The following is a 23,566-nucleotide window of genomic DNA, read 5'->3' as shown; positions in this document are numbered from 1 at the left end:
CCTCAGATTAATCATCTTTTTTTTCCTCAAGTTTTCATAATTCCACCTCTGTTGTAGCAGTCACTCACCAATTTGTACTATAATTATCTACTCACAATGCCTTTTCCAAGTTGTCGAAAAAGAGCTCAAGAGAGGGTTCTGAGATCTCATGCAAAAAGGAATTCAAGGCTAGTAGCAGAGCGCAGTGAGAAGAGAGTTTATTAAAAGCTACTCCATTACAAAGTAGGGCATCCCCAGAGAGTAAGAGGAGGCACGTCTTGTCTGTAAGTTTTCCTTATACAGAGGTCTTATCTATGTAAAAAGCTAAGCTGTGTCTACATGTCGGTGAGCAGACAGCATTACAAATTATTCTATTGATTTAAAGATAACTATCCTTGACATTCTAGTGTGTGAATACATCAAAGCTTAACTGTAATTATCTTGAAAACATAGATTGTTATGGGTATTGGGACATGTGGGCTTTCTGCTTTTGTAGGAGTGTGTCCTTGTAGTAGGTATCTTTAGGCTGTTTCCTCAACTATAAACGTGTTATGATTATGGGTTGTGACCGAAAAGGAATGTGCCTTGTTAGTCTCAAGATGGAGTTGATTTTTAAAGTGGTGCCACTCTGGCTCTCCTAGGCTCCTGCTTCCCTAACACAAGGGATTCAACTCCTCAAGACAAGGACCATGTCTTATTCACAGTTGTATACTCAGTATTTGGCATATGGTAAGCATTTCCTCAATGTATTGAATACAATCTTTCTTTTTAAAAATGTTATCCCATTGTTTTGGTAGCAAACGAAATAATTGTCTTCTCAAAATTTTCTTTATTTTTTATTTTTTATTTTTTTATTTGAGACAAGGTCTTGCTCTGTCATCCCAGTTGGAGTGCAGTGGCACAAACATAGCTCACTGAAGCCCTGACCTCCCAGGCTCAAGCCATCCTCCAACATCAGCCTTGGAAGTAGCTGGGACCATAGGTATGTGCCACCACACCTGGCTTATTTATTTATTTTTCATAGAGATGGGGTCTTGCTATGTTGCCCGGGCTGGTCTCCAACTCCTGGCCTCAATCAATCCTCCCACCTTGGCCTCCCAAAGTGCTGGGATTACACGGGTGAGCCACCATGCCCAGCCCTTCAAAACTTTATCACTCACCATTTACCTCATCCAAAGACTTTTAACCCCAATCATGTAATTGTTGGACATCCCCTCAGCACTTACATAATCTTTTGCAAATTCTAGTTGCAAGTGATGGAGCCAACGGTATTAATTCGGAACATTGTTTTCATTTTCTTTTTCTCCTTTATGGCTCATAAAACCATAGTTAGAGTGACCATCAATCCAATTTAATGTAATTATGTAAGAAGTGTCTACTTTGTGTCAGGCACTGTGTTTGGTGCTGGGACGCAGGCAGTGAATAAGGCAGACATGGTACCTGTCATTTTGGAGTTTAGAATGTATTGAGAAAACAGCAGTGAACAAGTAATTACAGATGTCATGTGTATGAAGAAGGAGGAGGAGGAGGAAGAGAGAGAGGAAGAGGAAGAAAGAAGGAGAAGAGCACCACCAGCAAGCAGATGTTGCTCTGGAGGGTAAGAAGTTATAAACAAAACTAAGGGTCAAGAAAGGCCTACCAGAAGATGTTACTTTTAAGCTAGGTTTGAAGAATTAGTAGGGGTAGGCAGGTATAACCTCTGTCAATGTCAGTGATCACACCTTACCTTTCTTCTTCCCTTTCTCCTTACTAAAACATTATACAGCCAACAAAATAAGCTTTTCACTCTTGATGGCAGTATGATTGGAAAGATGAAGGTTCTATTCTTCTGAGCAGTCTTATTTGATATCTTTCTATAAGTGTCCATTCTGTTTTTTTCCTCAATATTGTTAATTTGAAATAATATATAAAGGTCAATCTCTAAGAAAGAGTTTATTTGGGAAAATGCAGGAATTGCAATTCAGGACACCCAGACCTGGGCAGCACCTGGGTGTGTCCAAAGAACGAAGGGAAAGGCTGAGGTTTTATTGGGAAAGTGAGGAAGGTACACTGTTTTGAAAGAAAGTTCATTGGTGCCAGCAGGAACTGGCAAGTTCTGCTTGATGAAGTAGCAGCAGTTACCAGGTAAGACATAATCTTAAAGCCACAGGTAGGTCTCTGTGGGTTTTTTGTTGAATTGCAAAAATAGTTTATGGAACAGGTGTATGGGAACTGGGTGCCCTTTCGTATGACCTCTGGACTCCATTTTAGTTGGTAATGACAAGACTGACTCCATTTGATACACTCAACTTTCACAATGTCAATTTTAAAAACTAGAAAATATTCATTTGCTAAATCAGAGTTGAACCTAATCTCCTAGATTTGGAGTGCACTTCATTTTCTGAACTGGGTGGCAATACATATTGAACTAGGCAGCCTCTTCCTCAAGCATTCTTCCTCTTGGCACTTCAGGCTTTGAGCCTTGGCTCATTTCCCTAGTTCTTGGAGCACATCCTAGTGATATCCACTGGAATTGTGCTGAGAAAAAGAAAAAGCCAGAGTAATTATTAAAATGATTCAACGCAAGGTGAATCTCAGCTGATCCTAAGCCAAGGAGAAGGGGAGTGAGGAGGAGGAAAAAGATTAACTAAAAAATCTGCCTTAGAAGGTTTTCATCATATTGATATATTGGCCATGAATTCCAATAATATGTAATTTATTTACCTATTAGTTGTTGTTCTCCCCCTCTCCCCAAAAGGATTTAACAAAATTACTTCACTGGGGTAATTTAAATTGATAAAATTTCTGAAAGTAATTAAGCAATATGCCTTGAAAACAATGTATACCCTTTGATTCAATAATCCCACTTCTAGGAATTCACCTGAATCAGTAAGGGTTCTCCAGAGAGACAGAAGCAACAGGATATATGGAAGGGAATTTATTAGGGAAAATTGGCTCACACTGCCACAGAGATAAAGTCCCACCATAGGCCACGTGCAGGCTGGAGCATCAGCAAAGCCAGTAGCATGGCTTAGTCTGGAAGCTTCAGATGATGCAGCTTGAGAACAGTTTGAGAACAAAAGCCTGACAATCCTGGGAGGACCCTGGTGCAAGTCCCAGGGTCCAAAAGCCAAAGAACCTGGAGTCTGATGTCCAAGCGCAGGAGAAGAACAGGCATCCAGATCTGGAAAGCAGACAGAGAGCAGAGAACAAGGGTCTCCCATCTTCCCCCTTTGTCCCAGCTGGCCCCTAGCTACCTGGATGGTGCCTGCCCATATTGAGGACAGGTCTTCCTCTCTCAGTCCACTGACTCTTGTATCAGTCTCCTCTGGAAACACCCTCACAGACCCATCCAGACATAATGTTTCCCTAGCCATCTAGGCATCCCTTAATCCAGTCAAGTTGACACCTAAAATTAACCGTCGCAAGTCCACCCCTTGTTAAACTATCACCCATACACATCTCCTTAAACCATACTTCATCTCCAAATAAAAACAATAAAAAGGTCATAATTCCACCTAACATGATAAAACTATCCTGTGTACAACCAAAAACGCACAAATCCCATCCCCAGAAGAGAAGGTGAACTTCTTTAGTGATGTTTACTCTTCTCCTGATATCCCATAACTTAAATACTGTGATGTAAAATTAACAATACTTAAACACTAAAAGTCAATAAATTTTATGTTAATGCTAAATGAATAAGAGAGGAAAGACAACAAATATCTGTGTAAGATGTATGTATCTATGCATGAAGGTATTCTTAACAAAATAGGGAGGAAATAGTCATGACAATTACAGTCCTCAATTCTGTTAACTGGTCATGTGGGTATAGCTGGTATTTATAACTACTTTCTTCTATCGTATATGCTGTATTCCATTTGCCTTCAAGTTCAGCAAGCACCTCAGCTGGTTGTGGTTCTCTAGCTGGTGGGGTGACATAAGCCTTCATTCCTAAAGGGTCTGGGCCATTCGTAGTCCTGCCTAGATTCAGTTATTGTATAATAGTTTCCCATTGACCTTAATCATAAGGCATGGTAAAACTAAGGGACTTCCTATATTTCAGACAAACTCTTCCTTATCTCTATTGTGGAGTAATAGTCCAATTTCACCCTTGGTAGTACAGATCAATCACCTCAGCCAACACCTTAACTACTTTCTTAGCCTGTGTGGAGTCCAGGTTGGCCCGGTGGCAGTTTTAAACTTCCAATTCAATGAAATCATTGTTGTGTCTGCTGGTAAAAGTATTCCTCCCTCTGGAACTAATGCCTCTAGGCCAGCAGAACATGTCATTGGAACAGAAAACAAACATTTTGCTAGTGGGTCACTAGGGGCAATGGTGAGTGGTGCCACTCCCATTTTCACCCCTTGATTGCTGGATGCATGAGTCCTGGCTATGGGAGAAACAGTATAATATATTGGATGCTGATTCAGAGCATATACGGCCTTCTAAAGAACCTTGTTCCAGTCCTGCAAAGTATCGTCACCTAGCTAGCACTGTAACTGTGACTTCAGAAGGTCATTCTGCCATTCTATTAAGCCAGCTGCTTCAGGATGATGGGAAACAAGGTAAAACCAATTAATTATATGAGCATGCGCCCATTGCCACACTTCTTTGGCTGTGAAGTGAGTTCCTTGGTCAGAAGCAATGCTGTGTGGAATAACATGATGGTGAATAAGGCATTTGGTAAGTCCATGGATGGAGTTTTGGCAGAAGCCTTGCATGAATGGAAGACAAATCCATATCTAGAGTAACTGTCTATTCCAGTAAAGGCATACGGCTGTCCCTTCCGTGATGGAAGCAATCCACTGTAATCAACCTGCCACCAGATAACTGATCACCCTGGGGAATGGTGCCATATCAGGAGCTCAATGTTGGTCTCTTGCTGGCAGAATGGACACTCAGAAGTGGCTGTAGCCAGGTTGGCCTTGGTAAGTGGGGGTCCGTGTTGCTGAGTCCATGCATAAACACTATCCCTGCCACCATGGCCACTTTGCTTATGAGCCCTTTGGGCAATGATAGGGGTGGCTAAGGAAAGAGGTCTACTGGTATCCACAGAACAGGTCATTCTATTCACTTGATTATTAAAATTCTCCTCTGCTGAGGTGGTCATCCTTTGGTGAGCATTCATATGGCACACAAATATCATCACATCTTTTGCTTACTCAGAGAGGTCTATCCACAAAACCTCTTCCCCAAATTCCTTTGTCACCAGTTTTCCAATCATGTTCCTTCCAAGTTCTTGACCATTCAGTCAAACTATTGGCTATCGCCCATGAATCAGCATGTCATCACACATCTGGCCATTTCTCCTTCCAAGCAAAGTGCACAACAAGGTGCACTGACTGAAATTCTGTTCACAGGAGGATTTCCCTTCACTACCTTCCTTCAGGGATGTTCTAGAAAGGGGCTGCAGTGCTGTAGCTGTCCACTTTCTGGTGGTACTTGCATATACGAAGAACCATCTGAAAACTAGGCCCTAGTATTCTCTTCCTCTGTCAACTGATCATAGAGTCATCCCCATGAGGCCAAAGTTGCAGGCTGGGAGAGAGGAGAGAGAGAGTGTAGCAGCAGGAAACATAGGCATTTGAGTCCCTTCCTCATGGAATCTCTTGCCTTCAGGACCTGCTCAGGCTGATCAATACCCTACTTCCATTTGATGATGGAGTGCTGCTGTACACACCCAACTTTATGGCTTGGTGGGTTAGATAACACCCCATTCATGATAGGCAGTTCAGGTCACATGGTAACTTGGTGGCCCATGATCAACCATTTAGTTTCTGCTAAGGTCCAGTAGCAGGCCAAGAGCTATCTTTCAAAAGGAGGGTAGTTATCTGTGGATGATAGCAGGGCCTTGCTCCAAAATCCTAAAGGCCTCCACTGTGATTCACCAATGGGGTCCTGCCAAAGGCTCCAAACAGCATCCCTATCAGCCACTGACATCTTAAGTACCATTGAATCAGCTGGATCATATGGCCCAAGTGGCAGTGCAGCTTGCATAATAGCCAGGGATCTGTTGCAGCCCCTCTTGAATCTAGAAGCTTTTCTAGTCACTCAGTAAATGGATCAAAGCAACACACCCAAGTGAGGAACATGTTCCTTCCAAAATCCAAATAGGCCCACTAGGCATTGTTTCCTGTTTATAGCAGGGGCCAGATGCAAGAACTTTACCTTAGAAGGGATATCTCGACAGGCCCCACACTACTGGACCCCTAGAAATTTCACTGAGGGTTGGATTCATATCCCACCCTCTGACACACAAATGTCTTACCAGTAAGTCCAGAGTGGTTGCTACTTCTTACTCACTGGGTACAATCAGCTTAATGTCATCAATGTAATGGACCAGTGTGGTATCTTGTGGAAGGGAAAGGCAATCAAGATCTCTGTAAACTAAATTATGACACAGAGCTGGAGACTTGATATACACCTGAGGCAGGACAGTGAAAGTATTTTGCTGGCCCTTATGGACAGGTATGGAGAAAAATGCATTTGCTACATCAGTAGCTGCATACCAGGTACCAAGGGATGTGTTAATTTGCTCAAGCAATGAAACCACATCTGGTACAGCAGCTGCAATTGGAGTCACCACTTGGTTAAGCTTACAGTCATCCACTGTATTCCCCAAGATCCTGTCTTCTACACAGGGCAGAGAGTTGAATAAGAATGGGCAGGGAACCACCACCTCTGCATCTTTCAAGTCCTTCATGGTGGCACTAATCTCTGAAATCCCTCCAAAGATGTGATACGATTTCTGATTTACTATTTTCCCAGGCAGACGCAGCTCTAATGGCTTCCATTTGGCCTTTCCAATCATAATATCCCTCACTCCACAGGTGAGGCAACCAATGTGGAAATTCTGCTCAGTATGCTAAGTATGTGTATTCCAACTAGGAATTCTGGAACTGGGGAAGTGACCACAGGATGGTTTGGGGACTCACTGGACCCACTGTTAAGTCAAACCTGAGCTAACACTCCACTGATCACCTGACCTCTATAAGCTGCTACTCTGACTGGACGGCCACCATATTTTGGGTCTCCTGGAATCAATGTCAGTTCAGAGCCAGTTGTCAGTAGTTCCCTGAAAGTTCTGATTATTTCTCTTTCCCCAATGCGCAGTTACCCTAGTAAAAGGCCGGAGGTATAAACAGTATAAAGGTTTGGTAGTATACCCAAATGAAGGGTAGGGTACCCTTTATTCAAGGGGTTCTGGGTCTGTAAACTGGCTCAAGTGTGGAAATTGAGTGGCCATGATGATCTGTTTTTAATATTTGAGTTAGACTTTTGTTCACTTGACCTGGAAGTTTTCTGCTTAAGAATGTAGTAAGCTTCCCATCTATTTCACTTCTAGGAACAACAAGATTAATTAGCCAAAGCCAAATGTCTACATGAGTCAGATTATTCTGATTGTTGGATTGCCTCTGCTGTTCGCTCATTATGATAACTATGCCCACCTTGCCTTTGGCAGTTGAGTTTTGCCACTTGGACCCTGCCACCTTGGAATCCAATTATTCCCATTCTTTCCCAATCAATGCCCTCACTTTAACAGTAAACATCCTGTGAGGCTGAGTGCACCTTTCTTCGTAGGTAAGCTAGTTGCATGATCAGGGCTTGTGTTTGGTTTTCAGTAATTTCAACCCAAAGGCTACTGGGGAGAAGATTCTCCTTCAGGGAACACTTAGAAGTTTCGAGACTATTTATGTATACCTGGAGCTGAGAATTCAAATCCCTGAGCTCATCCTTTTCTTTCATTACTTTGCCCAGCAATATTAGTAGCAACCAACTAATGTCATTATGTTTCTTGATTTTCCACAAATATCCTAAAGTATCATGTACAGAATCACCAAGTGCATTGCTTCTTATAAGTGGTGAATTAGGAGTGTCACATGCATTTATTTTGCGTATCTCTATAAACAACTCAGCCATGGACTATCAGTGCTGTCTGTACTATTAGAAGTAGAGAGTCTTTAGCATTTTTAGCTCTAATCAGATTAAAGAGCCAATTCCAGAAACCCCAAAACCAGTTACGAAAATCCACCCTTAAAATTCTGTTCCTCTGGAAGTACTCCTGGTACCAAAACCTCATCTTATTTCCCTAGTTCTTAAAGCAGCTCCTGAAGATGTCCCTTGAAATTATGTCTAGGGCAGCAAAAGGAAAAGTCAAAGTAATTCTTAAAATGATTCAACCCAAGGTGAATCTCAGTTGATCCTAAGACCAGGAGAGAAGGAACAAGATTATCTTATAAAAACCATCTCAGGCAAGGTGCAGTGGCTCATGCCTGTAATCCCAGAACTTTGGGAGGCCAAGGCAGGAGGATCACTTGAGCCAGGAGTTCAAAACCAGCTTGGGCAACATACAAGACCCCATCTCTACAAAATAAAAGTAAAAAAAATAGCAGGGCAAGGTGGTGTGCCTATAGTCCTAGCTACTTGGGAGGCTGAGGTGGAAGGATTGCTTGAGCCTGGGAGGTCAAGGCTGCAGAGAGCCGTGACTACACCAGTGTACTGTACAGCCTAGGCAACAAAGCAAGACCCTGTCTCAAAAACAAAACAAAACAAAATCTCAAGAGAAGGTTTTCATCATATTAATGTGTTGGCCTTGAATTATAATAATATATGATCTATTTACATATGATTTGTTCTTCTTTGTCCCCCAAAAAAAGGTGTTTAAGAAAATTCTTCCACTGGGATACTTTAAACTGATATAATTTCTGGAGAGCAATTAAACAAAATGCCTTTAAAATCATTTATGCCCACTGATTCAATAATCTCACTTTTAGAAATTTATGCTAAGGAAATAATTAGACATGTACTTTAAGATTTATATTTTTTTAAAAAAAAGCATAAAAGCAAGACCAAACAATCACAACCACAACAGTAAAACAAAACAGCAGCTAAAAACAGCCTGTTCAAAGTAGTATTTTTATTTTTACTTTTTTGAGACAGGGTCTCACTGTTGCTCAGGCTGGAGTACCATGGCATAATCATGGCTCACTGCAGTCTGGACCTCCTAGGCTCAAGCAATCCACCCACCTCAGCCTCCTGAGTAGCTGGAACCATAGCCACATCACCATGCCCAGCTAATTTTTAAAAATTTTTTGTAGATATAGGGTCTCACTATGTGGCCCAGGATGATCTTGAACTCCTGGCCTCAAGTAATCCTCCTGTCTCAGATTCCAAAAGTGCTGGGATTACAAGTGTGAGCCATGGTGCCCAGCACAGCAGTGGTTTTTTGTTGTTGTTGTTTTGTTTTGTTTTTTAGACGGACTCCCTAGGCTGGATTGCAGTGGCATGATCTTGGCTCACTGCAACCTCCACCTCCCAGGGTCAAGCAATTCTCCTGCCTCAGCCTCCCGAGTAGCTTGGATTACAGGTGCACATGCCACCACACCCAGCTAATTTTTGTATTTTTAGTAGAGATGGGGTTTCACCATGTTGGCCAGGCCAGTCTCGAACTCCTGACCTCAGGTGATCCACTCACCTCAGCCTCCCAAAGTGCTGGAATTGCAAGCGTGAGCCACCGTGCCTGGCCAGTGTTATTTTTAGTAGCAAACAAGTAGAAACAATATAAATATCCTACATTAAAACAATTACATTGTTATGACACAACAGTTCAGTATATTATGAAGCCACTAAAAGCTTCCTAACAATTTTAAAACAAGTAAAATGACAAATGATGTAATATTAAGAAAAAAATAAGACACAATGCTACACTCACACACACACACTCACACATACACTCCATATAATCCAATTTTAAATATTTATTCATATATATGCTTAGAAAAGAGGTTACTGGGAAAGACCTCAGCATTTTCAAGGTAAGTAATCTCTGGAAAAAATTATTATGGGTCATTTTAATTCTGGCCTTCATACTTAAATGTATTTCCTAATTTATACTTCTTTGTATATTTTACAATTAGTAAGTATTACTTTAATCAGAAAAAAGCAATGTTAAGGGGGAAAATCTTTCACCTTTGTCTATCAGTCTAATGAACTAATATGTTCTTAATGTGAACATTTATCCATGACTTAGTAAGGCTCAAAATTAATAATGTTCATTTCTCAATCAAGCTTTCATTCCATCCCTCAACCTGTCAAATTCTAGAATATGTACTGAGTTTACCATATTCTAGAATATATACAGAGTCAAGCAATGTTACATCAGAAACCTGGCTGTCTTAGCGCCCACAAGCCACCTCTGCTTGGAAGCGGCTACAGGCGCACTATGTCATGATTGCCTGGCATTCTGTTTCCATCTGTATCCTTCTAACTAACCCCAACACTTGCACCATCCTCAGCTTTGACTTGATTCCAACCTCATAGCAGGGGTAGAGGGGAGGGTGATGAGAGGAAAGGATGGGGAACAAATTAAATGGTAGGAAAAAGCTCATTTGAGCCCAGGAGTTCAAGGTTACAGTGGGCCATGATCGCACCACTGCACTCCAGCCTGGATGACAGAGCAAGACCCTGTCTCTTAAAAAGAAAAAATCTTAAATTTGGGTTGGCATATGGACAGATGAGGCAGAGGTTAGGGCCAGAAAGAGGTAAACAAGAACAAAATAGAAATAAAAGAGATAGAGGAGTGACAGGTAGGGTATTTTTTTTTTAAACTTTAATTTCTGTAGAGACAGGGTCCCACTATGTTGCCCAGGATGGTCTCCAACTCCTGGGCTCAAGTGATCTTCCCACCTCTGCATCCCACAAAGTGCTGGGATTATAAGCATAAGCCACCACACCCAGCTGGGAATAATTTTTAAACAGAAAATGCAGCAGTTGCTCAACTGGCTGCCATATTATAAAAATGATGTGCTACATTATCAGCCTCCTGAACAGCTTGCTATTATTCATGTCCCCACACTCTTATTCATGGCCCTTCCTACTCATGTCATAAATAATAATAAAAAGATTGCACTATTTTAGTGGCCTCAGGGGACAGTCATATCTCTGAGGCTAACTTCAAAGACGATCCAAAGACCCATGCTGGTCTGGAGCCACCTTTGATGATAACAATGGTAGTAACAGTTAATACTGAGTGATGACTAAGTATCAGGAATACTGAGCACTTTACATACATCATCTCACTGATACTCACAATAAACCCATGAGCTAAGCGTTATTAATGTCTCTATTTTAGAAACCTAGAAATAATCCATACAACAAATGATTAAACATTTCTGTCCCTAAAGTCTATCTCTGGCAAAATTATGAGCAAATGAGGTGGAGAGAAAAGGAAAAAAGTATTTCCTTAACACCTATGATATGCCAAGTTCACCTCATTCACTGCTTACCAAATCTACAAGGTAAGTACAAAATACAAAGCTAGAAAGTGACTGAAATTTAAATTTGAAACAAGTTTTAAACTCGTCCTGTAGAGTCCAATCTGAAGCTCAGGGTAGTGAATTATCAGGACACTTTTTATTTATTTATTTATTTATTTATTTATTTAGAGAAAGGTCTTGCTCTGTCACCCAGGCTGGAATGCAGTGGTGCGATCTTGGCTCACTGCAACCTCCGCCTCCTGGGTTCAAGCAATTCTCCTGCCTCAGCCTCCCGAGTAGCTGGTACTACAGGCAACACCACCACGCCCAGCTAATTTTTTTTATTATTTTTAGAAGAGATGGAGTTTCACCATGTTGGCCAGGTTGGTCTTGAACTCCTGACCTCAAGTGATCCGCCTGCCTCGGCCTCCCAAAGTGTTGGGATTACAGACATGAGCCATTGCGCCCGGCCAGGACACTTTTTAAATGTCCTCTAAGGTTAGTGTGAGGATACACCCAGCCTCCTATCACAGCAACTTTCATTTACAAACCAGCCCAAGGAGATATTGAGATTATACAATCTAATCCAGTAGACTTTATTCACTGGTGAAAACCCCTCAACCAAAACCCATAGACACTTCATATGCCAGACTCTGTGTTAGGCTTAAGGGTTACAAAACTTGATCCATTCAGTCACAAAAATGGATCCATATCCTGGAAGGGCATACGCTTAGACATTAGCATAAAACACATAAGCATATGACACCCACTCAATAACTATTAAGAACAACTATGTGCAAAGCACTGTCAAACTTCGGAGAGCCTGCATTTTCACAGAGCAAACTTAACCCACTTTAATCTATTGTTATCTCTAGCTTTTCAGATCATCTATTAAGTTTGAAGATGAAGGATTCAGTAGAGTAAGTGTAGTTCCAGAGCTGCCAAGGAGAAAGTAGCCAAGCAAAAAGCTGCATGTTTTCCTACAACTGCATTGTCCTCACATTTGCCCCTCCCATTGTCACATGACCTCTGCTAAATACATGTTAGGCATCAAATAAATTTTTGTTGAATGAATGGTTATACTACTATGCTTTTTAAAAAGCATAGTAGTCCCCCTTATCTGCTGGGGACACATTCCAAGATTTCTGGTAGATGCCTGAAACCAAGGACAGTACTGAATCCTATATGTACTAAGTTTTTTCCATACATAAAGTTTATGTATGATAAAGTTTAATTTTATCACATAAATTAAATATGATACATTTTAATTTATAAATGAGGTACAGTAAGAGATTAACAATAACTAAATAAATAGAACAATTATAACAATATACTGTAATAGTTATGTGAATGTGGCCTCTCAAAATATCTTATTGTACTGTACTTACCTTTCTTCTTGAGGTAATGATGAAATAGTACAATGGCTTCATGATGATATGAAATGAAATAAATGATGTAGGCATTGTGATGTAAATAGAAAACTCCAGAAATAATTTCTAAGTTTTAAACTGCCTGCTGTTCTGAGTAGCATGACAAAATGTCTCACTGTCCCACCATTTCTGGCCTGGATTGCTATAAATCACTTAGTAGCCATCTCAGTTATCACATCTACTGTTGTGGTATCACAATGCTTATCTTCAAATAATCCTTACCTTACTGAATAAAGGCCCCAAAGGGCAAGAGTAGTGATGTAATATTTTCAGACCATGGTTGACCAAGGGTAACTAAAACCCCAGAAAGCAAAACCTTGGATAAGGGGGGACTACTGTAACGACAGTCTTGTTGTTACCAAATGCTATGAGTTGAGTGTTCCCACCAAAACTCATGTTGGGACCTTAATTCCCAGTGCAGCAATGTTGGGAGGTGGTACCTTTAAGAAGTGGGGCCTAATGGGAGGCATCTGAGTCACGGGGGCTCCCTCTGCTCATATGGGCAGCATGCTGCCAATTCTTCTACAGTTCTTGTCAGTGAGTGACCTCTCTCTCTCACGTGAGACCTCTCTCTCCCATGAGACAGGATTAGTTTCTGAGAGCGAGCTGTTATGAAGTGATTACAACTCTCATGTTCTGCCCCTTTGCACGTGCTCCCTTCACCCTTGACCTTCTGCCATGTTATGACACAGCACAGAAGCCCTCACCAGAAGCAAGCAGATGCTGGCCCCATGCTCTTGGACTTTCCAGCCATCAGAATCATGAGCCAAATAAACCTCTTTTCTTTATAAATTACCCAGCTAAGGTATTCTGTTATGGCAACACTAAAGATACTAAAACACCATGATTTCAGAAAATGAGACTGGCTGAGATCAATGTGTCAGATTAACGTATAAAGGGCAATAGTCACAGTACCGCTGTACTCCACTACCTCTCACCATCAGTGAAGAAACTTCTACAGCACTAAGGAGAAGGCCCATTTGGTAGACCCCACTTGGATGACTTGGGATGATGGGATTAAGACTTTACCTTGATTACAATAGAGACTTATGCTTACATGCCCTCTGGTAGGCTGTACAGCAGTTAGGGAGTGAGTTCCCTCCTATAGTTGTGAGTATATGCATTGACATGGCTCTCCCTATGCTATGGTATGGAAAATATATATGAGCTCCTTCTTTGAGTAGGAAAAATATACATTATAGGTCTCTTCTATTTAATTAAAAAGAAACTATGAAATAAATCACTCATAAATAAAGAATGCTTTCTTTATTCACATGCTGAGTCCTTTATGCTAGCAAGAAAAATAGAGAATATAGAATTTCTTTCTCATGGAGCTAAACAAAGAGCCTACTTGCTGATTAATGAAACTGAGATAAAAGTATCACATATTACGTTTGACTATGTTATCTTCTCCATCATAAGGTACAAATCTCTTGTTTTCCTCATTTTCAATCCAAAGAGACAAGGATTTTTGCCAAATTTTTCTACTAATGGAGCCCATCTTAACCCATCTAAGATATGAACATCTTTATTCTGGTAGACATCAAGGTTTGTGAAATAGGTTTTATATATTGCCAGCCATCATAGTACATTGTATAGGTGATGGTGACAGGACATAAATTGTACCTGTTATTAATCTCTTCAGATGCAAATTAACTTCAATTGAACTTGCGACTTTGTTCTTTCCCAAGTTAAACCAAATCCTTTGTTTCATGAATAAAAAGAAAATTTAGTAAAATTTCCTGTTTCTTTGTTATAGCTGCTTACAAAGTGAATAAAAGTGTTTTAGACAGTCTGCAAACAATATAGTCCTGTGCTTTTCCAATATTTTATCCCTTAAAATTCCTGAAGTTGATCATAAAGAATCTACAAGTAAGATAAGTTTGGGGCTGTACTACTACTTCCTATTTCTAAAACATGTGGATAACATTTTTTTTCAGTTTGTTTCAATTAATAATAATAGCAGCAACTAAGTATCATTTATTGATACCCTGCTATGTTTAAGCACTGTGCTATATGCTTTGCAAACATTCATTTAATGTTTATGGTAACCCTGTAAGGTAGGCATTATTTCTGCTTTACAGATGAGGGAACTGAGGCTCAGAGTGGTTACCTACCACAGAGCATTGATTTTGTATCACCCCAACCACTGCTGCCTTGTAACTGAATTTCAGCCTCAACAGCAAACTCCTAAGTTTATCAGCCAACTCCTAAGCTGATAACTCCTTAGTTATCAAGCATTAATCAAACTGTTACCATAAAAACTTGTCCTGAAATATTACAATTTAAGAAAATTTGGGCAATACTAGATAACATACAAAGACAGAAAAATACTCAGGTGAGGTCACACAAAAGCCAATAATGGGCCAGGTGTGGTGGCTCACACCTGTAATCTCAGCAGCTTGGGAGGCTGAGGGAGGAGAACTGCTTGAAGCCAGGAGTTCAAGACCAGCCTGGGCAACATAGCAAGACCCTGTCTCTATAAAAATTTTAAAATTAGCTGGCTGCAGTGGCATGTGCTTGTAGTCCTAGCTACTCAGGAGGCGGAGATGGGAAGATCCCTTGAGCCCAGGGGTCTGAGGGTGCAGTCAGCTATGATGGTGCTAGTGCACTACAGTCTGGGTGACAGTGTGAGACCTTATCTCTTAAACAATTAATAAGGGCCGGGCGCAGTGGCTCACGCCTGTAATCCCAACACTTTGGGAGGCCAAGGCAGCTGGATCATGAGGTCAGGAGATCGAGACCATCCTGGCTAACACGGTGAAACCCCATCTCTACTAAAAACACAAAAAATTAGCTAGGCGTGGTGGCAGGCACCTGTAGTCCCAGCTACTCGGGAGGCTGAGGCAGGAGAATGGCATGAACCCGGGAGGCAGAGCTTGCAGTGAGCCAAGATCGCACTACTGCACTCCAGCCTGGGCGACAGAGTGAGACTCCGTCTCAAAAAAAAAAATAATAATAATGAATAAGAAAAAAATAAAAATAAAAAGCCAATAATGCCTAATGTTTTCCCCCTTTTTTGAAAGCAGAAAATTTCCCCCAAATTCTCCAATACCTTTATTTGTTAGTTTTTGCTTTATTTTTGTAATCAAATAACAATACAAAAACACACAAATACCCCGCCAGCATCAGGTGCACCACAATCATGAAAGATAAAATAACCCCCATGCAATTAAATGACCATCAGCTACAGAACTTTGCAGCAGCTACAACTGACCCATTCTGGCTTCACATTCCTAATATGCATCTCTGCATATTATTCATAAAATACATTCTGAATCCAAAAATTAGATGAAATCATGGGCAACTCAGGAGTCCTAATCTTCCTACTCATCTACCTTTTGCACTAGCAGGAAAAAAATGGGAGGAAGGGAATAGGATATATCTAATAATTTCCAAAGCATCATTCCCATAGGAATGAGTAGGGAAGATGGGACCTCAGTTATCAGATCCATATACCAATTATGTCAAGAGGCAAAAGAAAACTGTCAGTACCAAAGCTAAGAAGTCTCAGTACTCCTTAATGACAAACTGTCCTTGGACACTGGCTCAGATTTAGTGAGTTAATTATTAGAAAAAGAACCCAGTTCTTGAGCTGACCAAGAATTACATAATGGGATAATTTAGGGAAAAGGCTCTTCATTGCAAATTTTAAGATAGAATTCAGGAATCCTGCCTTCTATTCTGGCTTTGGTCAAGACAGTGAGGTCATATCACTAGATAACTCAGTTGGCAGCACATGAATTAGAACACACAATCATTAAAATATCCAATGTCTAAACCCAGTGTCTTCAATACTCTATCCCAATTCTACTCTATATTACAATTCTTTTTGGAGAGCAAACCCTCCAGAACACACTTCTACAGTCTTTATAGGAAATATTTATGGGTCTGTCAAGAATGATGATCTTGAATGAAAGAACCTTCTATAATATCCAATACAGTAGCCGCTGGTCACACAGAGCTACTGAGCACTTAGAAAGTGGCTAGTGTGACTGAGGAACTGGATTTAAAATTTCAATTAATCTTAATACAAATAGCTACATACGGCTAGAGGCTATGGTACTGGACAGTATAGTTCTAGATGGTACGACAGTTAATTTTTAGTGACTAAAAATGCATTTGAAAAAAAAAAATCTTAAGCCCCCAACAAAATAGCCAGGAAATCACATTATTTGCTCAAAAATACCCTTTCTTTGGGTAAACCCCTGAGGCCAGTAATGATGTATCTCTACCCAATAAGGGAAGAGAAAATAAAGTAATTCAATAGCAATTCTAGCTTCGGTTCTCATGGTTCCTTTGCTTACTCTCAGGATTACTCTGTATGTGTTCTTTTGAAGCTATTACTATCTTACCTTAAATTTTTAAAAGTCCTCCTTTCTTCATCCTTGGTGGATGAATCTCTCACTGGACAGATCCAATAACCTGGTGATTGGGGTCTTCCCATCCTTTAAACTGGGAGGTTGACTTTTTCCAAATGTTTTGACAAACACATCAAAGAAACTTTATAGCACAACAATCACAGAATACCTAAATTGTCATGGTCCAACAAGGAAGAAAAAACCATCACCAACCAGGCTTTGGGACTCAGGAAGATGAATTTGAGACGGAAAATGAAGAGATGAAGGGCATTTCCCCTGAACAGTTTTTCCAAGTCCATTCATGAGGAAAATCCCCAACGTCGGGAGACTCAAAAGGCTTTTCTACGTGAATTTTCCGATGCTGACTGAGGTAGGCACTTCTGCTGAAGCATTTCTCACAGCTGGTACATTTGTAAGGTTTTTCCCCTATGTGGGTCCTCCGGTGCCTGATAAGGTTAAAGCTCTGACTGAAGCTTTCACCACAATCAGGACATTTATAAGGTTTCTCTCCTGTATGTGTCCTTTGGTGAATCACCAGGGTGGAACTCTGACTGAAAGTTTTCCAGCACTCAGAACATCTGTAAGGTTTTTCTCCTGTATGTGTTCTCTGATGTCTAATGAGATGGGAGCTAAGGCCAAAACTCTTCCCACATTCACAACATCTATATGGTTTCTCTCCTAACTGGATTCTGCATTCTTCTATCACATTGCAGTTCTGACCCAAACTTTCCTCATATTCAGAACTTTCATAGGATTTCTCTCCTGTGTGCATTTTCTGGTGTGTAATAAGGTTTGAACTACGACTAAAATTCTTCCCACATTCTGGACATTGATAAGGCTTTTCTCCTGTATGTATTCTCTGATGTTTTATTAGAGTAGAATTACAACCAAAGCTTTTTTCACACTCAAGACATTTGTAGGGCTTCTCACCTGTGTGTGTCCGCTGGTGGCGAATGAGGCTGGAACTCTGACTAAAACTCTTCCCACAATCAGGGCACTTATAAGGTTTTTCTCCAGTGTGAGTCCTCTGATGTTCTATTAGGACATAGCTGTGACTGAAGCCTTTTCCGCAGACAGAACATTCATATGGTTTTTCACCTGTATGTGATCTGTGATGCTGAATAAGGTGAGAGCTGCTGCTGAATCTCTTCCCACACTCGGGACATTTGTAGGGTTTCTCTCCCGTGTGAGTTCTCTCATGGATAATAAGATGGGAGGTATTGCTGAAGCTTTTCCCACATTCACCACACTGGTAGGGCTTCTCTCCTGTGTGCATTCTTAGATGCTGAATCAGGTGAGAACTGTTACAAAAACATTTTGCACACTCAGAGCATTTATAAGGCTTTTCTCCTGAGTGGGTCCTCTGGTGAGTACGCAAATGAGAACTATTACTGAAGCTTTTCCAACATTCGGAACATTTATAGGGTCTGTCTACAAAGGATGAATTCTGCTGGACACAGGCATTGGTATGTTCTCCTGAGTCCCATTCCTGGTGATTGGGTTTTTCCTCCTCTTTAGCTATAAAATTTCCCCAATTCTCTGACTTGCCATCACTCTCATAGGAATCATGACACCAAATCTCATCTTGAACCCATGTCAGTGGCATTTCTTTTGCATCCTCATGCTTATAATGTTGTGGTCTATGTCTTTTAGACCATTCTGAAGGTTTCTCTTTAAGTTTATCTGCCTTAGAATTATTGTGGTGAACAGTTTCCAAATTATTCATACTTGTATCTCCTGCAAGAATAAACAAATATTCTAACCATATTCCAAATCTCTGCCAGAGAAGTAAATTCTAAATTGCAGTGGAAGAGAGGAAATAACACTGTAAAACCTCATAAATAATTTCATATAAAAAAGTTTTTAAAGACAGTTTTACTTCTTTTCCTCTGTTTACCAGAAGCAGGTGGATTTTTTTTTGTACCTAGCAACAACAATAATGAATTATTTGAATCATTATTGGCAAAGGGAACATCAATCTAAAAATAAATGCATTAGGTTTTGTTCTAGAAGACTTAAGAGAAAAAACAGGATTGATGTGAATAGAAGTTAAATTGAACAGGATACCATCTCAGGTAAAAACTAGACAATAGCTTTGCTAAAATCTGAGCAAATGCTATAGAAATAACAATAGCCACTATTTATTAAGAACAGTAGCTTTGGATACGGTATCTCACTAATTCTAAAATATATGTGAAATAGATATTATTCATTTTCTTAAAGATGAGAACAATGAGGCTGAAATAATTAACACAGCTTATAAGTGACAGAACAAGGAATTAAATTAAGGTTTGTCTCATTCTAGTGTCCTGTTCTTTCTACATCAAATTTCCTAAGGATTCAGATCATCGTCTTGATCCCTCACCTGTGAAAGGGCTTTTCAAACTCTCCCTCTCCATAAAGCTGTTAGAATCTGAGACCAACAGTTTTTTTTCTTGCTCCATCACAATGATCACAGCCAAGTTAGAGATCAGAAACCCTGTGGAAGGAAATAAATTATGTTTGGAGGTATTTGTTAAAGCTTATTCTTCCTCCTTCCTTCCCAACCATTCCAACACAACAATAGGAGGCATAGAATGTTCCATGAACCATACCGAAAATAAGAAACACAACTTTTAGCAGCCCTTTTAGAAAATCTTATCTCAGATCTAAGTGTTTAGAATTAAGGGTTAACCCTGAAATAACAATGCAAAAAAGTAAATCTTCACATTAAAGGTCTGAGGATCAAGCTTCAAAGACAGAATACTAATCCTCATTGTCCACACGTAGCTTAGAAACACTTTTACTTTAAAAAGCAAAGTATTTTTTTTAAGACACCAATAATAAAACTTATAAAGACTTCAAGGAATCAATATGAAGGCATAAGCAGCAGCTAAAGAAAAAAAGCACCCTGTTTAGTTTCAAAAGAATAACTTGGTCTTGACAGAAGGAAACCTTTGAAGTCAATTTCAAAGGAAAGTTAGGATTTATATAACCAGTAAAGAGAAATTAGGACAAAGCCGAGGTGGAATAATTATAGCCAATAACCCTGCAATATAAAAAGGAGGCTAAAGAGGGACCTCTTCCTCCTTGCACTTAGTTCCTAAGTCTATCATATTCACAATATCCATTTCAGCCTAAACTTCGTCTTCTGGAGCCAACAATCACTAACCTATTTTAAGGGACTAGAAAATGTTCCATCCTGGCTAATGCGGTGAAACCCCATCTCTACTAAAAATACAAAAAATTAGCCGGGTGTGGTGGCGGGCGCCTGTGGTCCCAGCTACTCAGGGGGCTGAGGCAGGAGAATCGCTTGAACCCAGGAGGCAGAGGTTGCAGTGAGCCGAGATCGTGCCATTGCACCACTCCAGCCTGGGTGACAGAGCAAGACTCTGTCTCAACAAAAAAAAAGAAAAAAGAAAAAGAAAAAGAAGAAAATGTGATCTATCACAGGAAGGCAGTGACATATGGACTTTTGGCATCCATTTCAGAATATAAAGAGTATCATTATTTGGGAGAAAAATAAGGACGTAAAAGGATATACAAATGCACACATTTTAAAAACAAAAAATAGTATATGTACTTATATTGTATCTTCACCATTACTGCCTATTATGTGCCAGGTAGTGAATGAAATAATTTGCACACATTTGTCATTTAATTCTTACAGTAGCCCTCTGAAGTGTATGAACAACTACCAGCATTTTATAGGATGAGTTTGAAAGGTATTAAGAAACTTTCCTAAGGTCACCTAGAAAGTGGTAGAGCAGGACTGAGCTCCAAGTCTGTTTGGATGCTGACCTTTTTCACCCTCTGATCTATTATCGTAAACTAGAACAGGAAGCAGAGCTGGGCATAATCCCAAACTGCAAAGAATCCTCAGAGTCCCTTTATTTTAGAATATTTAGAATACTGGCATTTTAAAACAGAGGTCTACATTCCTAAACCTTGTTAACAAAGTGAGTCGACATTCCCTAAGCACACTCAGCAAGTGGGGATTTGTTCTAGAGAAACGTGAAACTAGTCTACATTACTAATATCCCCAGTGTTTGAGTTGGGGGGGAGAAAAAACCATACACCTGAATGCAAAAAAAGGAAGGGGGTGGAGTTGTTCGAATGGAGTTATATATTTTGCTGTCCTAAGTTACATATTGTTATCAAAGTATTTACAAAAGCAGCAAGAGTCTGGGCAACACATTACCATCTCCCCCATTTTCCCTACTAAAATACTATTAAATTTGGCAGCAAAGGAGCCCCCGGAACAGTGGCTCAGCAAAATGGTGGCAAATGCAAGACCATACAAGGCTGCCATTAAGATGTCTCTCCACGGGGAAGGAGTGTTTTCACTGTTCTAGAGCAACAATGTGATCAGAGTGGGGCCGTGCTTTGATCAGAAAGCCTTCAAAGAAAATGCACTGCCTGAAGCCTAGTTTTAAGAACCGCTGGCTGGTACAAGTTGGAGACGCTGGGGGGTGAAGTTCCAGGATACCAGACGGTCTCCGGCCGACAAGATCCCGTAAGGGACCCCGCGGACAAGGATGACGGTGGCCCGTCGGCGGGAGATGCTGGGCCTTCGCCCCTGGCAGCAGCGGGAACTCTCTCCCGGACGTCCACTGCAGCCTGGACGGGGCTGTTTCCACTCCTCTAGCCCGCAACCCTCGGCTCCCTTCCCCCCAAGAAGGAACTCACTGTTCTGGGTGCTACACCCAAGGCGCCCTGCACCCCCAGCGGTCCGGGAGGAAGGTACCCCCTCTCCCTCTGACCCCACCAACCCAGGGTCCTAAACTCTCAAACCCGGAAGGCAGAAACAGGAAGTTACCCTCATCTCCCCCGGCGGCTTTGCTGGGGCCGTTCTAGGAAACAGTGATGGCCCACTCTCGTTGATCTTAACCCTTAGGGTCCTGGACCAGAAGGAGCGTGGGGGTGGATTTCCTTTCCCTGTGCTGTGACCAGCCAACTGTGAACCTCATTTCTCTCACTTGTCAGGCGGCTTACGACAGGGGCCTGATTGGAGCTTATACTTTTCCTTGCCATCAGAATATCATCAGATTAATTATCATCACTATTAGAATCAAAATCAATCTAGTATTTTTCTTTTTTGAGACGGAGTCTCGCTGTTGCCTAGGCTGGAGTGCAGTGGCGCGATCTCGGCTCACTGCAAGCTCCGCCTCCTGGGTTCACGCCATCCTCCTGTCTCAGCCTCTCGAGTAGCTGGGACTACAGGTGCCTGCCACCATGCCCGGCTAATTTTTATATTTTTCGTAGAGACGGGGTTTCACCGGGTTAGCCAGGATGGTCTCGATCTCCTGACCTCGTGATCCGCCCACCTCGGCCTCCCAAAGTGCTGGGATTACAGGCGTGAGCCACCGCGCCCGGCCTCAATCTAGTATTTTTAAACACCTATTGTTTCTGTTCCCACCGCTATGAACATGGATATATATTTACTTACCTGTGAAAGTTAGAAAGCTAAGGCATCCATTCACATATAAAACAATTCGTTTACAAGGCACCCTTATTAACACCTAGAAAAGTAGTTAATCCCTCCTCTTTCATTACAGAGAAAATAGAAGCCAATCCCTTCATCTCACCTCTACCAAACAGAAATCTACTCAAGTCTGCACCCTGCCGTTTTCTTTCTTCCCTCCTGTTACAATACAGAGTCCCTCTGTGACCTTTTTTTTTTTTTTTTTTTTTTTTGTGATGGAGTTTCACTGTGTCACCAGTCTGGAGTGCAATGGCAGGATTTCGGCTCACTGCAACCTCTGCCTCCCGGGTTCAAGCAATTCTCCTGCCTCAGCCTCCCAAGTAGCTAGGACTACAGGTGTGCGCCACCATGCCCAGCTAATTTTTGCATTTTTAGTAGAGACTGGGTTTCACCATGTTGGCCAGGATGGTCTTGATCTCTTGACCTCATGATCTGCCCGCCTCAGCCTCCCAAAGTGCTGGGCTCTTTGGTATTTTAATAAGCCCTTTACTGGTACTCACTTTCCTACCTATCTTCTTGGAAACTTCGCACTACCAACTAAACTCTCCATCCCTCCACCCCCATCCCCAAATAGTCCCTCAGCTTTTCTTTTCTCTTTTTACTCACAATGTTTCCATTTCATCAATTTTCCACTAACCTTAACATTTCTCCTGCAACAACAACAACAAAAAAATCACTAGCATCACCAATGACCTCCATGATGTTAGTTAGTGCAACTGGTATTTTTAGTTCTCGGGTCCTTTTTCAGGAGGTTTGATATGGCTACGGACTCGTCTTCTAGAAACACTCTTTTGAGGTGACATCACATTCTCCTCCTTTTCTTCCAACATCTCTAGTCAGTCCTGTTAGTCTCTTTTCCAAGTCAGTCCCTCAAGATCATCCTCTCCTCTTATCACTGAATGTTCTCTGCCTAGGCAATCTCATCCACTCCCACATTTTCAAATACCACCTAGGCAGACAACTCAAAAATTTACTTCTCCAGCCCAAGCTACATGTCTGAGCTCTTCACTCATAACCAATGGTCTATTTGGCATCTCATACAGGAAGTCTCAATAACACCTCAAAACCAAAATGTCAAAAATCAAAATCATAAT

General features: G+C 41.1%; 1 protein-coding gene across 1 annotated transcript, besides 1 other annotated feature; it reads right to left on the bottom strand.

The window, feature by feature from the left end:
* Positions 1–15,703: 15,703 nt before the first annotated feature.
* ZNF572 (zinc finger protein 572) lies at positions 15,704–21,798 on the bottom strand. Its single transcript, NM_152412.3, has 3 exons — positions 21,677–21,798; positions 19,374–19,487; positions 15,704–18,745 (listed from the first exon to the last, which is right to left on the bottom strand). The coding sequence occupies exons 2-3, from the start codon at positions 19,450–19,452 to the stop codon at positions 17,235–17,237; spliced, it is 1,590 nt and encodes a 529-aa protein (NP_689625.2). The 5' UTR covers positions 19,453–19,487; positions 21,677–21,798; the 3' UTR covers positions 15,704–17,234.
* Positions 21,696–21,855: an enhancer, noted in NCBI's record as "active region_27896". NCBI's record gives its function as "activates an Ori minimal core promoter by ATAC-STARR-seq in GM12878 lymphoblastoid cells {active_cell/tissue: GM12878}" and the evidence as "EXISTENCE:reporter gene assay evidence [ECO:0000049][PMID:35858748]".

This window comes from Homo sapiens, chromosome 8 (genome assembly GCF_000001405.40).
Source record: "Homo sapiens chromosome 8, GRCh38.p14 Primary Assembly".
In the NCBI taxonomy this organism is placed as follows: domain Eukaryota; kingdom Metazoa; phylum Chordata; class Mammalia; order Primates; family Hominidae; genus Homo; species Homo sapiens.
Note: the sequence above shows the minus strand (reverse complement) of the source record. Positions and strands in the feature narration are given on the sequence as shown.

Excerpts from the sequence above, each read along its gene's own strand:
- ZNF572 (NM_152412.3), bottom strand. The coding sequence starts at position 19,452 with ATGGAGCAAGAAAAAAAACTGTTGGTCTCAGATTCTAACAGCTTTATG. Across the intron at positions 18,746-19,373 it reads TTTGAAAAGCCCTTTCACAG|GAGATACAAGTATGAATAAT; the intron begins GTGAGGGATCAA and ends TTATTCTTGCAG.